Source organism: Homo sapiens, chromosome 7, assembly GCF_000001405.40.
Source record: "Homo sapiens chromosome 7, GRCh38.p14 Primary Assembly".
Classification (NCBI taxonomy): domain Eukaryota; kingdom Metazoa; phylum Chordata; class Mammalia; order Primates; family Hominidae; genus Homo; species Homo sapiens.
In genome coordinates, this window is record NC_000007.14 from 156610712 (window position 1) to 156624704 (window position 13993).

Sequence of the window (13993 nt, forward strand, 5' to 3'; positions counted from 1 at the left end):
TGCAAGGGAGCGCGTGTGAGCCAAGTCTTGCAAGATGAGAACTACCTGGGGAAAGGGTATTCCTGGAACGTGGCTCTCCAGCTTTTAGCTGCATCAGAGTCACCTGAGTTCATTAAAGCATGGATTTCTGGCTCTCCTTCCCAGAGTTTCTGATTCAGTGAGTCTGGAGTGGGGCCCGAGAATCTGAATGTCTAACAAGTTCCCAGTTGCTGCTGCTGCTGTGAGAACGAAGTCTGAGGACTGCCGTGGAGAAAGCGTGGCCAGAGCCCAGTGGAGACGGAAGATGAAGACACTGCTGAGAAGCACCAGCCAGGGCCTGCTCCCCAAAGCATCGGACTGCACTGGGACGCTTTTCAAGCTCCCAGGTGATTCCAATGTACAGCCCAAGGTTAAACATCAGTTCCCGGCAACTTCTCTATTCAATCATGAGTGATAGATGAGGCATTTGCTGTTTCTCCGAGCTTTGTGTCATTCCCAGACGTACTGGACATTCTTTAATGCTCTGCCTCAGTCATGGATTAACTGTTGACCAAGACAGAGTCAGAAAGCCCCCTGGAGATGCTGTTCCTCCCGAGTCAGCTGAGCTATCTAATGGCCTGGAGTGGGGCCTGTGCACTGTGGTCTGCTCACTGATTTCTTGGGGTGAGTCTTAGCCCCGCCTTACACTAAATTATAAGCTCCACAGAGCAGGGACCTCAGTTTCCTGCCTGCTGCTGTCCCCCACTGCCCAGCACAGGGAATGGGACAGAGTAAGTGCCCAGTGTTAACTTTTGCTGAGCGAATGCCCTAGGAGTCACTAAAGCCTGTTGTGTGGGAATGCCTGTGGAATCTGGCCTTTTACACACAGCCTGTCACTGAACTTTGTGTGTGTGATTTAAAGAAGGAAATAGAGACCATCTTTAGTGTTGCAACGCCTAGCGTTTCAGCCAGGCTTCTCAAGACAGAACCGACGTGGTTCATAGGAGCTGGAGGAAAGGGATTCATCAGGAAATTGGCTCACTTGATTATGGAAGCTGGGGAGGCCCACAGCAGGCCGTCTGCATGCTGGAGACCCCAGGAAGCTGGCAGCGCGGCTTAGACCACATCCGAAGGCCTCAGAACCAGGGAAGCCGGTGCTATAACTCTCAGTGTGAGGCAGAAGGCCCCAGTACCAGAGAGGGTCATGCACAGGGGGCTGGTGTGAGTCCCTGAGTCCAAATGCCATAAAGCCTGGAGTTCCAGTGTCCAATGGCAGGAGACAAAGGGCATCCTGGCTCTGGGAGAAGGGGCCAGAATCCACCCTTCCTCTGCATTTGTGCTCCATCCAGGACCCCCCAGCCAATTGGAGGATGCCATCCACATTGAGGGCAGTTCTTCCCCACTCAGTCCACTGACTGACACACCAAACTCCTCCGGAAACTCCCTCACAGACACTCCTGGGGCAGCACAATCATTCTAATCAAACACCAGGCCAACTGGATTTCCCTTACAGTAGAAGAGGGCCATGCCCAATGCCCACTGAAGCATAAGAATAAATGGTGCTTTGCCAGCTATTTGGGCATCCCTTAATACCCTGTCACCTTGACATCCAAAATCCACCATCCCAAGCTTCCCCCCTTGTCACTTTGGTACCCATACACATCTCCTTAAACCCGATTTAATCTCCAAATAAAGACAATAACAAGGTCATATTTCTGCCTAGCATGATACAGCCATGCTGTATACAACCAAAATCACATAGAAAACCATGCTGTGGTTTGAACATGCTCCTTCCAAAATCCAGGTGTTGCCAATGGGATGGTATTAAGAAGTGGGTCTTTAAGAGGCGATTAGGCCATGAGACTAAATGCCCTTGTAAAGGGGCTTGCTGGAGGGAGCCGGCTCTCTCTTGCCTTCTGCCAGTGGTCCTCCAGCTTTAGCTGCATCAGAATCACTGAGAACACAGCAAGAAGGCCCACACCAGATGCCAGCACCTTGACCTTGGACTTCCAGCCTCCAGAACTGTGGGCAAATTAATTTCCATTCTTTGTAAAGTACCCAGTCTCAGGTATGCTATTGTAGCAGCACAAACAAAGACACCTTTACCTGGTAAAGGTAAAGAGAACCTTGGATGCAAGCAATAGATAAGCTTTAAAATTCCTGAGGTAAGATCTATACGACAAGAAACACAGCTTATTGCTTACTTGAGAGAGTGTCTGTTCATTTTAATTTATCAATAGAATCCTCCTATATCTGATTTGGAGATATTCTTTAAAACTTCAGATTTCTTTTTTGCAGGGAGGCAGAGAGAGTTTGCCCCATTTCTCCTCCTCTCTTACGCTTCACCATGAGCTGGGTGTTTTCCGACCACAAAGCCACAGCAGCTTTCTGTCCTTGAGTTGAAGTGGTGAATATTGGCTCCACCCAAGATGATTCTAAAGCACAAGCCACATGGGCGCGTGGCTCAGATCCCCGTGGCGCCACTCTGCCAGTCACATCCTCTCTCAAGCAGGCCTGCAGCCCGGTGACGAGCACCCTCCACCCGCTGACTGAGAAATCAAAGGTTCAGGCCTCATTTACAGATGATTGTGCACAATACATGCTACATCTGCCCAGAAATGGAGAGACGGCTCTGAAGGACAGTGTTGAGGGAAGTATTTGCAGTGGGCAGAACTCCCAGAAAAGCACCTGGCTGTTCATTTTGCCCCAAAGAGAATATGGCCCAAGACAGCAGGAGCCATCAGTATGAATGGATGGCCCAGGACTTGGAAGGAATACAGCTGGAAAACTGATAACAGGGCAGTCTCTGCAGGAACTATGTGGATAGACTTCTTCGGTGGACACGGAGTATGGATAAATTTGTGTTACGCGGGAAAGCTTACCAAAGGGCAACTTCATCGGAGAAGGCTTAGAACAGATCCCAGTCTTTCTGGCACCAGAGACCAGTTTCGTGGAATACAATTTTTCCATGGACCTAGGATGGGGATGGTTTTGGGTTGATTTGAGCACATCACATTTGTGCACTTTATTTCCATTATTATTACATTGTAATATATAATGGAATAATCATACCACTCACTGTAAGGTAGAATCCGTGGGAACCCTGAGCTTGTTTTCCTACAACTAGCCAGTCCCACCTGGGCGTGATGGGAGGTGCTGGCTGCACATGGGCACCAGGAAACTCGTGATGATGGGTATGTTTTTCATTGTGATTTCCATGGTGGTTACAAGACAGTCTGCACTTGCTAAAATTCATAGAATTGTAAAATTTTAAAGGGGTATGTGTTTTTTAGCTCAATATACTTGAATTAAAATACACCAGGTACATAAATATAAATGGACAGGAATATTCTTACTACAAAACACAAAACAGAGAATGCCAATAACTAAAGGAATGCTTGAATAAATTGTTGCATCTGGACCATGCATTATTCTGCAGCTATTAATGATCATTTTAATATACAAGTTTAAAATTCCTACTAATAATTAACTCTGCAAATGCAGATTTAACAGCATAGCTGAATTTCTTTTGAGAATCATTCTCTAGAAGAGTACAGACTTAGGTATGCAACAATGTTCCTCATTCCAAACCTCTTTATTTTGCCGTTTTATTGATCTGGGCCATTGTCTGTTAAAAATCAGAAAGGAAATGGAAGTACACAGCTATCCTGGGACACGATTAATTTATCTCACAGAATAATCAACCCAAGCGCAATAAAAAGAATCTGAGACCAAATGTTCAGATTAAGATTATATGTTGTTGCTTTTCATCCAGTTTTTACGGTGTTTAAACAAGGATTTGGTGGAGCCTTGACTTCTAAAAGGTCACACTGTGCGACACTGCTCTAAATCTTTGTCTGATCTCACAACAAGGTGAGTTTCCTTAACGCTGCCACGAATCAGGTAAAAGGCACGCCAAGGTGAAAGTTAAATAAGAAACGATCTCAAATAGCATTTTTTAAAAGGCAAACATCAACCTTGTAAGTATTAAAAGCACGTTCTAAAATCCACTCTGATGACAGTTGAAGAAAGCCGCCTTTATGTGCACGGAGTCCCGGCTCTGCGCGGTCTTTTAAATGCGAGTGTTTACCTAAGGCTGCAGGCCAGGACCAGGCTCTGGCCTTGAGGAGGTGCCTTTGGGTTGCACACAGTGAACCCGATCTTTAACTCATAAATCGCTCTACACCTTTGTCTCCCCCGAGAAAGGCAGAGGTCTGCTCTCTCACAAGAACGTACAAGCCTCTTTAAAGTCAGGTGGCTTTTTACTCCGCGTCTCCATGCTTGTTGATTTAGAGTCTCTGAGTGACAATGCACATCACTGGCTTTTTTTTTTTTTTAGCTCTGTCATCTGTGCTACTGAGTGTACTTTGCCTCAGATCAAAGTTGAAAGCTTCTAGAAAGATACACAAACCACAATGTGACAAATAGCATGCTGTGTTTGACACAGCAAACAATAAATTACTTTCATCAATCCAGATAAAGAATCCCATGTTTTCAATGCTAATTCTGATGTCTGAAATGATAGAACTTTACTACACTCTCAAAGAATGAGGAGCTTTAAATAATGAGGAAAAGACACAAAACTCACATACCAGAAGTTCTGAAATTGCCATTGTTCAAAAACCTGTGGTTTCAACTTGCTAAATTTAAACTCTGCAAAACTTAAATGGAATGGTCTATATTCAAATAAAAAATGTTCATTTGTCTCTATTTTCTTAGTTTAAAAACAATTTTTCTGTGGTATATCTGTACCCAACCAGACTGTATCAAAAGAAGGTTTCAATATTATTTAACAATTCTACAACAGCCTATTTCTTTCCCATGTTAACTTTTGCCACAAGGTGCCCATTAATAAGGAATGGCATTGAATAAAGTTGCCACATAATCACTCATTAGACCCAGGTGGTACGTCTCATCGGCCATAGTCTGGGCCAAAGAACAAAGGACACTGCGTTTCCTGAGCACTGCTGCCCACTAGGCCCTGGCAAAGGGTCTCACAGGTTACCTAATTTAATCCCTCCACAATCCCCCGAGGCGGATATTATCACTCTCATTTTCCAAATGAGGGACTGAAGCTCAAAATAAGTGCAATAAGTTGCCCAAGACCATACGCACCCAGTGACAGAGCCGAGCTCTGCACCTGTCCTTTTACTTGTAAAACCCAAACTGTATGGGAACAGTTCCTTCCAATGAATGAGTTACTCTAACACTTAAAAACGGATGCCTTCACCTTTTCTTTCAGAACCCTTCCTGAATCCGGGAGAAACCCTCCTGTTATTTCACCTGTTACAAAGTAGTTTAATGTACTTCTACCACCGGATATTATGAATTCCACAACATCCTTCGGCTGCCCACTCCGGGTGGGTACTGGGCCGCGTGGTGAGGACAAACAGTTAAGAAAACAGGAAAACAATATTTTGGATCCCAGGAGAACTGTGTTTTCCACTTATAAAAAGTATATACATATATGCACTTTATATATATATATATACACACACACACACACACACATGCACTATATATATACACACACACACATATGCACTTTATATACACACACACACACACACACACACACACCCCTATATGTTTGGATTCAGACGTCCCGCCAGAACCTGAAAGTTCAACTGTGGCCAGCCGTCACCCCTCCACAGTCTCAGCGGGCTCCACCCGCACGTGTCAGCGCCCGCGACCCGGGATCCTCCAGAACCACAATTTGGGAGTGGGCCGGTTTAGGGTCAGCAAAAACGCTGGGCTGAATGTATCATCACAGAACCCAGGAGGGAACCAGCAAAGCGGCGTTGGCGCCCCGGTCTTTCCTGCGTTGGCGCTGGCCGCGGGGCCCAGCACCCGGGACGTTGGCGGCGGCAGAAGGGAAGGCCCCGGCCGCCCTGCTCCGCTCCGCTACAGCTGCAGGCCTCTGCGGTGACGGGTGGGGGCAAAAACCCTGCAGAAAAGTCACCGTCACACGCAGAGTCCAAAACTCCCCTTTCCCCGCTGGAACCACTTTCTCCAAGGAGCTCCGCCCCGCGCTCTCCCCGACCCCGTGCGCCCCCAGACCTCGCGTCCCCCGCGCTCTCCCCCGCCGCGCCCTCCTGCCCCGCGCCCCTCCTCGCCCCGACCCCGCGCCCCTGCGCCCGGGCTCCAGCCCGGTCCCTGCCGCCTCCCGCGCCCCGCGCCCCGCTCCTGCCCGCGGCCCGTCCCCTCCCTGCAGCGCAGCGCTCTGGGTTCGGGTCTCTGCCCTCTCCACCCGCCTTTCCCGCGAGTCTTCTTGGCTTCCGTGTCCCCCTCCCCAGCCGGGCGTCACCCCCGCACCCCGCATCTGCGCCCCCCTCCCGCTAACCCGCGGCCTCCGCAAGGGCAGCGCGCTCAGCCGGGTGAACCTGGAACTGTGTTCCTGGCCCAGCGCTTTCATAAAAGGGCGCGGAATAGTAAGTCCTAGTTCAAGGAATAAACACGGATCCCCACTGGCCATGCCGGGACTGACGCAGGAAAAGACGCGAATAAAAGCATTCATTAAAATATGCCACGACCAAACCACGGAGAGAGTTACAATAAAACAGAACAATTTCAGAAACAGAGGGAAGTGATACTTGCGTGTATTATCCGTTTATTTCTGTTTCTTTTAGTATTTCTACTTGCATAAAACTACTTTTTCCATTAATAAAGTGTACACGAGGTAAAGGTTTTGGGCAGAACATTTGTCTTAGTGGATATCAAGAGAAAACTGCTTCTTGGATGATTTGATGGTCTCCAGGCAAGGGCGCATCTCAGGGCAGTCGTGGCAGGACGGGCACAGCTGTGGTGTCTCCCCCAGGCTGGGCTGCACCCGTTTCTGTGCACGCAGCGCACACGGGAGTCTAGAAGCGCACACCTGCTGAACTTAAATACAGTCTAAACTCCATTCCTTTATGATTCATTTTAAGAGTAATAAAGAGTGACAGTTACTACACAGGCTTTAAATATGGGGGAAATGGAACCCACCAGCAAGACTGTTACTACTTAATGGCTCCTAACTGGGAAACTGAGTCCAGTCCTAATTAAAGGAATAAATGTTTTCCTGTGGATGTTGAAAATAAATCCTTAAATACTATACGAATGGAAGAGCCACCCATGACACTTAAAATTTCCACAAAAACATTTACTTCCAAATTATCTCTGCACTGTGAAAATAAAACAGATATGTGAACTGCAGAAAAGCAGTCCAGTGGCCTCGTTTTAAATATTCTATCTATGAATTCATAAATTCTGGACTCATGGACTAAGATCTCGTTTAAAAAGCAGTAACAGGCCAAATGCAGTGGTTCACACCTGTCATCCCAGCGACTTGGAAGGCTGAGGTGGGAGGATCACTTGAGGCCAAGAGTTCACGACCAGCTCCAGCAGCATAGTGAGACCTCCGCCTCTACCAAAAAATAAAATAAAATAAAATTAGCTGGGCATGGTGACTTGTGCCTGTAGTCCCAGCTACTCAGGAGGCTGAGGTGGGAGGATGGCTGGAGGCCAGGAGATTGAGCCTGAAGTGAGCTATGATGGTGCCACTGCACTCCAGCCTGGGGGACAGAGCAAGACCCTGTCTCTTATAAATAAATAAATAAATAAATAAATAAATAAATAAATAAATAAATAAAAGTAGTAATGCTGTGTTTCATACATGGCAATTGTCAAACCATCCAAGAAGCAGTTTTCTCTTGATATCCAACCATTTTCACTTTCCTGAACAAAGCAAATCATGTGGCGACACCCGGAAAATCACAAAGTCACTGGGTAGAGTGCGGTGGAGACCCCTGTGTGCACTCTGCCGGGCAGCTGTGCGGTCCCTCCCCCTGGAGACCTGGGCTCAGCCATGTGTCCTGCTTCGACGGCTGGCATGTTAGCAAACACGCCGGCCAAGGCCCACAGCGGGCGTGCACACAGGCTTCCCGTCCTTTCTCATGGAGAAACACAGCTGAGCTGGGTAGCTGGAGGATGAAGAGCTTTGGGGCACCACGGCTGAGTTGCCCCGGCCCAGGCCAGGTTAGCCAGCAGCCTGCGGCTCCGTTTGAACGTTAGCTGCTTTGGGTTTCTTCTTCAGCAGATTGCCTGTCCATACGGTAAGTCATCAGTGAGACCAAAACAAGCTCAAAACAAGCTTCTGCTCAGCCCGGCCAGGACCGCCAGCCTGCAGGCCCACTCGTAAATCCAGTGAAGCTGAATATCTGAAACCAGAGTCTGGGGGTGAGCAGGGTTGGAGTACAGGGTTACTGAAACACTCCCTAATAACACAAGCCTGGAAGCATCAAGAGACAGCACACAAACGGATGAGAGCCAGAGGCCAGGCCAAGTGTGACAGCATAGCGCTTACCACGGCCTCCGCAGCAGCAGCTGGGGAAGGAAGGCCAGGCTCTCTGGACCGACTGGCCGGGAACCCTGGGACCTGGTGAACAGCCTGACCAGGGAAGCCTGCGACATGTTAGTCAAGGGGCCTAGGCTGGAGCTGGGAGGCCACTTGGGCTTGAGCCTCTGGCGGCTTAAGTGGAGAATGTTCAATCCCAGACTACAACCCCCTGGCTGAGCGGGGGTGAGCCAAGGCATCTGTTGTGGTGGCCCTCTCCCTCTCCAAGGGCGCTTCTTACAGTTACACCCAACCCTCAGCTCCAGGGCTGCTTTGACTGCAATCAAACCCATTGTAAGAGTTGAAAAACGACTTTTGCAATTGCCCCCTCTCCTGATTCATCCTTTTTTCTTTAAAAGCTTGGAATCCTCCCTTGTCCTCTGAAGCACTTCCCAAGGTAACTGGGAAGCATTTCCTGGGCTACAGTCACTCAAATGTGGCTCAGAAAAATTCTTTGTGGCTTAAGCTGTGCCTCAGTTTCCTTCCAGGTCCACGACACCCAGTTTCTGTATATTTTGCCCCTGCTTCCAAATTAGGACTAACTAGAGAAAGCCAAATATGTTCGCCAAACCACTGGCATGCGATGCTCACTTTGCATGAGCCACCCCCACACTGGCAACCTCCAATCAGGACACCCTAGAAGTTTTCCTTTCTTCACTCTACAGCTTTCCTGCTCTCCACCTCTGAGCCCCTGCTGAATGCAGGTGGTGGAGCTGAATTCCTTGTTATCACAAGCTGTAAATAAACAGCCTGTTTGTTCTCCTTTGGCTGGTCCTTGCCTCCACAACCAAAAGCGGGTAGAGAACTGGGGCCATTACTGTTACAGGAAAGTGGTCCCGATCTGGACCCCAAGAGAGGGTTCTTGGATCTTGCGCAAGAAAGAATTCAGGGTGAGTCCACAGTGCAAAGTGAAAGCAAGTTTATTAAGAAAGTAAAGGAATGAAGAATGGCTACTCCATAGACAGAGCAGCCCTGAGGGCTGCGAGTTGCCCATTTTTATGGTTATTTCTTGATGACATGCTAAACAAGGGGTGGATTATTCATGCCTCCCTTTTTAAACCATATAGGGTAACTTCCTGACGTTGCCATGGCATTTGTAAATTGTCATGGCGCTGGTGGGAACCTAGCAGTGAGGACGACCAGAGGCCACTCTCGTGGCCATTTTGGTTTTGGTGGGTTTTGGCCGGCTCCTTCACTGCAACCTGTTTTATCAGCAAGGTCTTTATGACCCGTATTTTGTGCTGACCTCCTATCTCATCCTGTGACTTAGAATGCCTTAACTGTCTGGGAATGCAGCCCAGTAGGTTTCAGCCTCGTTTTACCCAGCTCCTGTTTAAGATGGAGTTGCTCTGGTTCACACGCCTCTGACAATACTACAAGCTACAACAGACATAGGAGCCAAATGGATGGGTCACAGGGCATAAGCATGGTTAATATGTGCCAGACTGAAAAACTGCATTGTGGTATTCATTCAACTTTGACTTCCATTGTGTTGCAGATGATCAAGAGGCTCTTCAATGCATTCCTGAAGCCTTCCTTAATCCTTCAGTATGCAAGTCTTTTCTCTTCTGAAGCTCCTGGCCATCAGTCTTGTCATTTTCTCTTCTAAAATTATCAGGTCTATTTCCGCCAGATCTTTAATCAGTAACAGCTTTACCTAAGAGCCTGCCACGTCATTTCCGTCAATTCCATTAAATCCTGAACCTTTCATGGAATTTGCAGTTTTTTCTTTGCAATCTTTTTACCTTGTATCCTTAAGTGTCCATGATGCCCTGCACTGGTGAGAAACAAGTTGACAAAGATACCGATGGCACAGTTGCCAGTGGGAAGTGGGAAGGGATATTTGAATAGCAATATTCTTATAAATGTTTCATTAGAAAATTTTCATAATAAAATCAGAATATCAATGCCTGTCTTTTCATTTTTTTCTATATTTTAGAAAGATCCTTTAGAAACAAAATAAATTATCTAAAAATTAAACTCACTACTTTTTACTTTCTATCTGTAGGAAAATCCCACTTGATCATGGTGAATAATTCTTTTAATGTGCTGTTGAATTTGGTTTGCTAGTATTCTGTTGAGGATTTTTGCATCTATGATCATCAGGGATATTGGTCTGTAATTTTCTTTTCTTGTAGTGTCCTTGTCTGACTTAGTATCAGGGTAAACTAGCCTTGTGAAATGAGTTTGAAAGTATTCTCTCTTCTTCAATGTTTTAGGAAGGGTTTGAGAAGGATGGGTATTAGTTCTACAATTGTTCGGTAAGATTCAGCAGTGAAGCCATCAGGTCTTGGGCTTTTCTTTGATGAGAGATGTTTCATTACTGATTCAAATCTCCTTTCTCATTATTGATCTATTCAGATGTTCTGGTTCTTCGTGATTCAGTCTTAGTAGGCTGTACGTGTCTAGTAACGTATCCATTTCTTCTAGGTTGTCCAATTTGTTGGCATTTAATTCTTCACAGTAGTCTCTTATGATCCTTTGTATTTCTGTGGTATCTGTTGTAATGTCTCCTCTTTCGTTTCTGATTTTATTTGTCTTTATCCCAGGGATGCAAGAATGGTTCAACGTACACAAATCTATAAGTGTGATTCACCATATTAAGAGAATGAAGGATAAAAACCATATGATCATCTCAATAGATGCAGAAAAAGCATTTAACAAAATTCAATATTCTTTCATGATAAAAACTCTTGACAAATTAGGTACAGAAGAAGTGTACCTCAACACAATAAAAGCCATAGATGACTAATCCACAACTAACATCATAAAGGCATACCTTAGAGATATTGTGTATTCAGTTCCAGATCACTGCAATAAAGCTAATTTTGCAATAGAGTCACATGAATTTTTTTGCTTCCCAGTGCCTACAAGAGTTATGTTTATACTATAGTATATTAAGTATGCAACAGCATTATGTCTAAAAAATGTACATACCTTAACTTAAAAATACTTTATTGCTAAAAACACTGAGAAAGCAAGCACAGGCTGTGGGAAAAAAATGGCACCAGTAGATTTGCTCGATGCCACAAACCTCCAATTTGTAAAAAAATGCAATATCTGCAAAGTGCAATAAAGTGAAGTGCGACAAGATGAGGTATGCCTGTACTCATGGTAAAAAAAAATTGAAGGCTTTTCCTCAGAAACCAAACAAGCATGGGCAGGCTCACTACTTTTATTCAACATAGTACTGGAAGTCCAAACCAAAGCAACTAGACAAGAGAAAGAAATGGAAAGCATCCAAATTGTGGGGATGCTTAAAAAAAATAAGTTAAATTGTCCCTGTTTGCAGACAACATGATCTTATATATTGAAAATCCTGGCAGGGCACGGTGGCTCATGCCTGTAATCCCAGCAATTTGGGAGGCTGAGGCGGGCAGGTTGCCTGAGCTTGGGAGTTTGAAACCAGCCTGGGCAAGATGGGGAAACCCCATATCTACTAAAAATACAAAAAATTAGCTGGGCATGGTGGCGGTGCCTGTAATCCCAGCTACTCGAGAAGCTGAGGCAGGAGAATCGCTTGAACCCAGAAGGCAGAGATTGCAGTGAGCCAAGATCGCACCACTGCACTCCAGCCTGGGCGACAGAGTGAGTCTCTGTCTCAAAAAACAAAACAAAACAAAAACGAAAAAGAAAACCCTAAAATTCCATCAAAAAACTGTTAGAACTAATACGCAAATTCAGTAAACACACATGAAATGAAATAAATATACAAAAATCAGGAGCATTTCTATACACTAACAACAAATTACCCAAAAAAGAAAACAATCCCATTTACAATATGTAATACCTACAAAATAAAATAAAATAAAATACTTAGGAATAAATTTAACCAAAGAGATGAAAGACTTCTAAACTGAAAACTGTAATACAATGATGAGGGAAATTAAGAAGACACAAATAAATGAAAATCCTGTGTTCATGGATTGACAGAATTAATATTGTTAAAATGTCTGTATCACCCAAAGCAATCTACACATTCAATGCACTCCCCATCAAAATTCCAATAACATTTTTTCACAGAAATAGATAAAACAATCCTGAAATTTGTATAGAACCATAAATGACCCTGAATAGCCAAAGCAATCTAGGTTCTTGAGCAAAAAGAACAAAGCTGGAGGGATCAAACTGACTGACTTCATAATCTGCTACAAACATATAATAATCAAAACAGCATGGTACTGGCATAAAAACAGACACATAGACCAATGGAACAGAATAGAGAGCCCAGAAATAAATACACACATTTATGGGCAATTAAGTTTCAACAAAAATGCCAAAAACACACAATAGGGGAAGGACAGTCTCTTCCATAAATCATGTTGGGGCAACTGGACATCCATATGCAGAGGAATAAAATTAGACCCTTTCTCACACCAGATTTTTAAAAATCAACTGAAAATGGATTAAAGACTGACATAAAACCTGAAACTATAAAGCTAGAAGAAAACATAGGGGAAAAGCTCCATGACATTGGCCTGGTTCATTTTTGGATACGACCCCAAGAACATCAGCAACAAAATCAAAAATAGACAAATGGGATTGCAACAAACTAACAAGTTTCTGCAGAGTAGAGGAAACAATCAACAGAGTGAAGAGACCACCTAAAGAACGGGAGAAAATATATGCAAACTATGCACCTGACAAGAGGTTAATATCCAAACTATATAAGGACGCCAAACAACTCAATAGTAAGAAATCAAATAACCTGATTAAAATATAGGCAAGGAACCTGAATAGACATTTCTCAAAAGAAGACATACAAAGAGCCAAAAAGTATATAAAAAATTGCTCTGCCGGGCGTGGTGGCTCATGCTTATAATCCCAGCACTTTGGGAGGTCAAGGCGAGAGGATTACCTGAGGCCAGGAGTTCAAGACCAGCCTGGCCAACATGGTGAAACTCCGTCTCTACTAAAAATAGAAAAATTAGCCGGGTGTGGTGATGGGTGCCTGTAATCCCAGCTACTTGGAGGCTGAGACAGAAGAATTGCTTGAGCCTGGGAGATGGAGGCTGCAGTGAGCCAAGGTTGTGTCACTGCACTCCAGCCTGGCCAACAGAGTGAGATTCTGTCTCAATAAAAAAATTAATAAAAAAATTGCTCAACATCACTAATCATCAGAGAGACGCAAATTAAAAACACAATGAGGTATCACTTCACATCTGTTAGAATGGTTATTACCAAAAAGATCAAAGATAACAAGAATTGAAGAGGATGTGAAGAAAAGAGAACACGTGCACACTGCTGGTGAGAATGGAAATTGCTACAGCCATTATGGAAAATAGTATGGAGGTTTCTCAAAAACTTAACAATACAACTACCATATTCAGCAATTCTACCGGATATGTGTTCAAAGAAAATGAAAGCAGTGTGTTGGAGAGATAACTGCACTCCCATGTTCACTGCAGTGTTATTCACAATAGCCAAGATGTAGAATCAACCCAAGTGTCCATCAACAGATGTGTAAAGAAAATGTGGTTTATATGCACAATTCAGTACTATTAACCATAAAAAGAAGTAAATCCTGTCATTTGCAATCATATGGATATTATGTTAAGTGAAATAAGTCAAGCACAGAAAGACAAATGCCAGTAATCTCACTAATATATGGAATCTAAAAAAGTTCATCTCATAGAAGTAGAGAGTCGAATGGTGGTTGGC

General features: G+C 44.7%; 1 long non-coding RNA gene across 1 annotated transcript in view, besides 5 other annotated features; it reads right to left on the reverse strand.

Annotated features, from left to right (window-relative positions):
* Nucleotides 1–13993, reverse strand: part of RNF32-DT (RNF32 divergent transcript) — a 168437-nt gene that overhangs the window by 138613 nt on the left and 15831 nt on the right. The window lies entirely within an intron of this gene.
* Nucleotides 2230–2399: an enhancer, noted in NCBI's record as "active region_26907". NCBI's record gives its function as "activates an Ori minimal core promoter by ATAC-STARR-seq in GM12878 lymphoblastoid cells {active_cell/tissue: GM12878}" and the evidence as "EXISTENCE:reporter gene assay evidence [ECO:0000049][PMID:35858748]".
* Nucleotides 2510–2629: an enhancer, noted in NCBI's record as "active region_26908". NCBI's record gives its function as "activates an Ori minimal core promoter by ATAC-STARR-seq in GM12878 lymphoblastoid cells {active_cell/tissue: GM12878}" and the evidence as "EXISTENCE:reporter gene assay evidence [ECO:0000049][PMID:35858748]".
* Nucleotides 8750–9439: an enhancer, noted in NCBI's record as "H3K27ac hESC enhancer chr7:156412155-156412844 (GRCh37/hg19 assembly coordinates)". NCBI's record gives its function as "activates a minimal SCP1, AML or CMV promoter by ChIP-STARR-seq in primed H9 embryonic stem cells {active_cell/tissue: H9 hESC(primed)}" and the evidence as "EXISTENCE:reporter gene assay evidence [ECO:0000049][PMID:30033119]".
* Nucleotides 8910–9110: a silencer, noted in NCBI's record as "peak6867 fragment used in MPRA reporter construct". NCBI's record gives its function as "represses an SCP1 promoter by STARR-seq MPRAs in K562 erythroleukemia cells {active_cell/tissue: K562}" and the evidence as "EXISTENCE:reporter gene assay evidence [ECO:0000049][PMID:32103011]".
* Nucleotides 9440–10129: an enhancer, noted in NCBI's record as "OCT4-NANOG-H3K27ac hESC enhancer chr7:156412845-156413534 (GRCh37/hg19 assembly coordinates)". NCBI's record gives its function as "activates a minimal SCP1, AML or CMV promoter by ChIP-STARR-seq in primed H9 embryonic stem cells {active_cell/tissue: H9 hESC(primed)}" and the evidence as "EXISTENCE:reporter gene assay evidence [ECO:0000049][PMID:30033119]".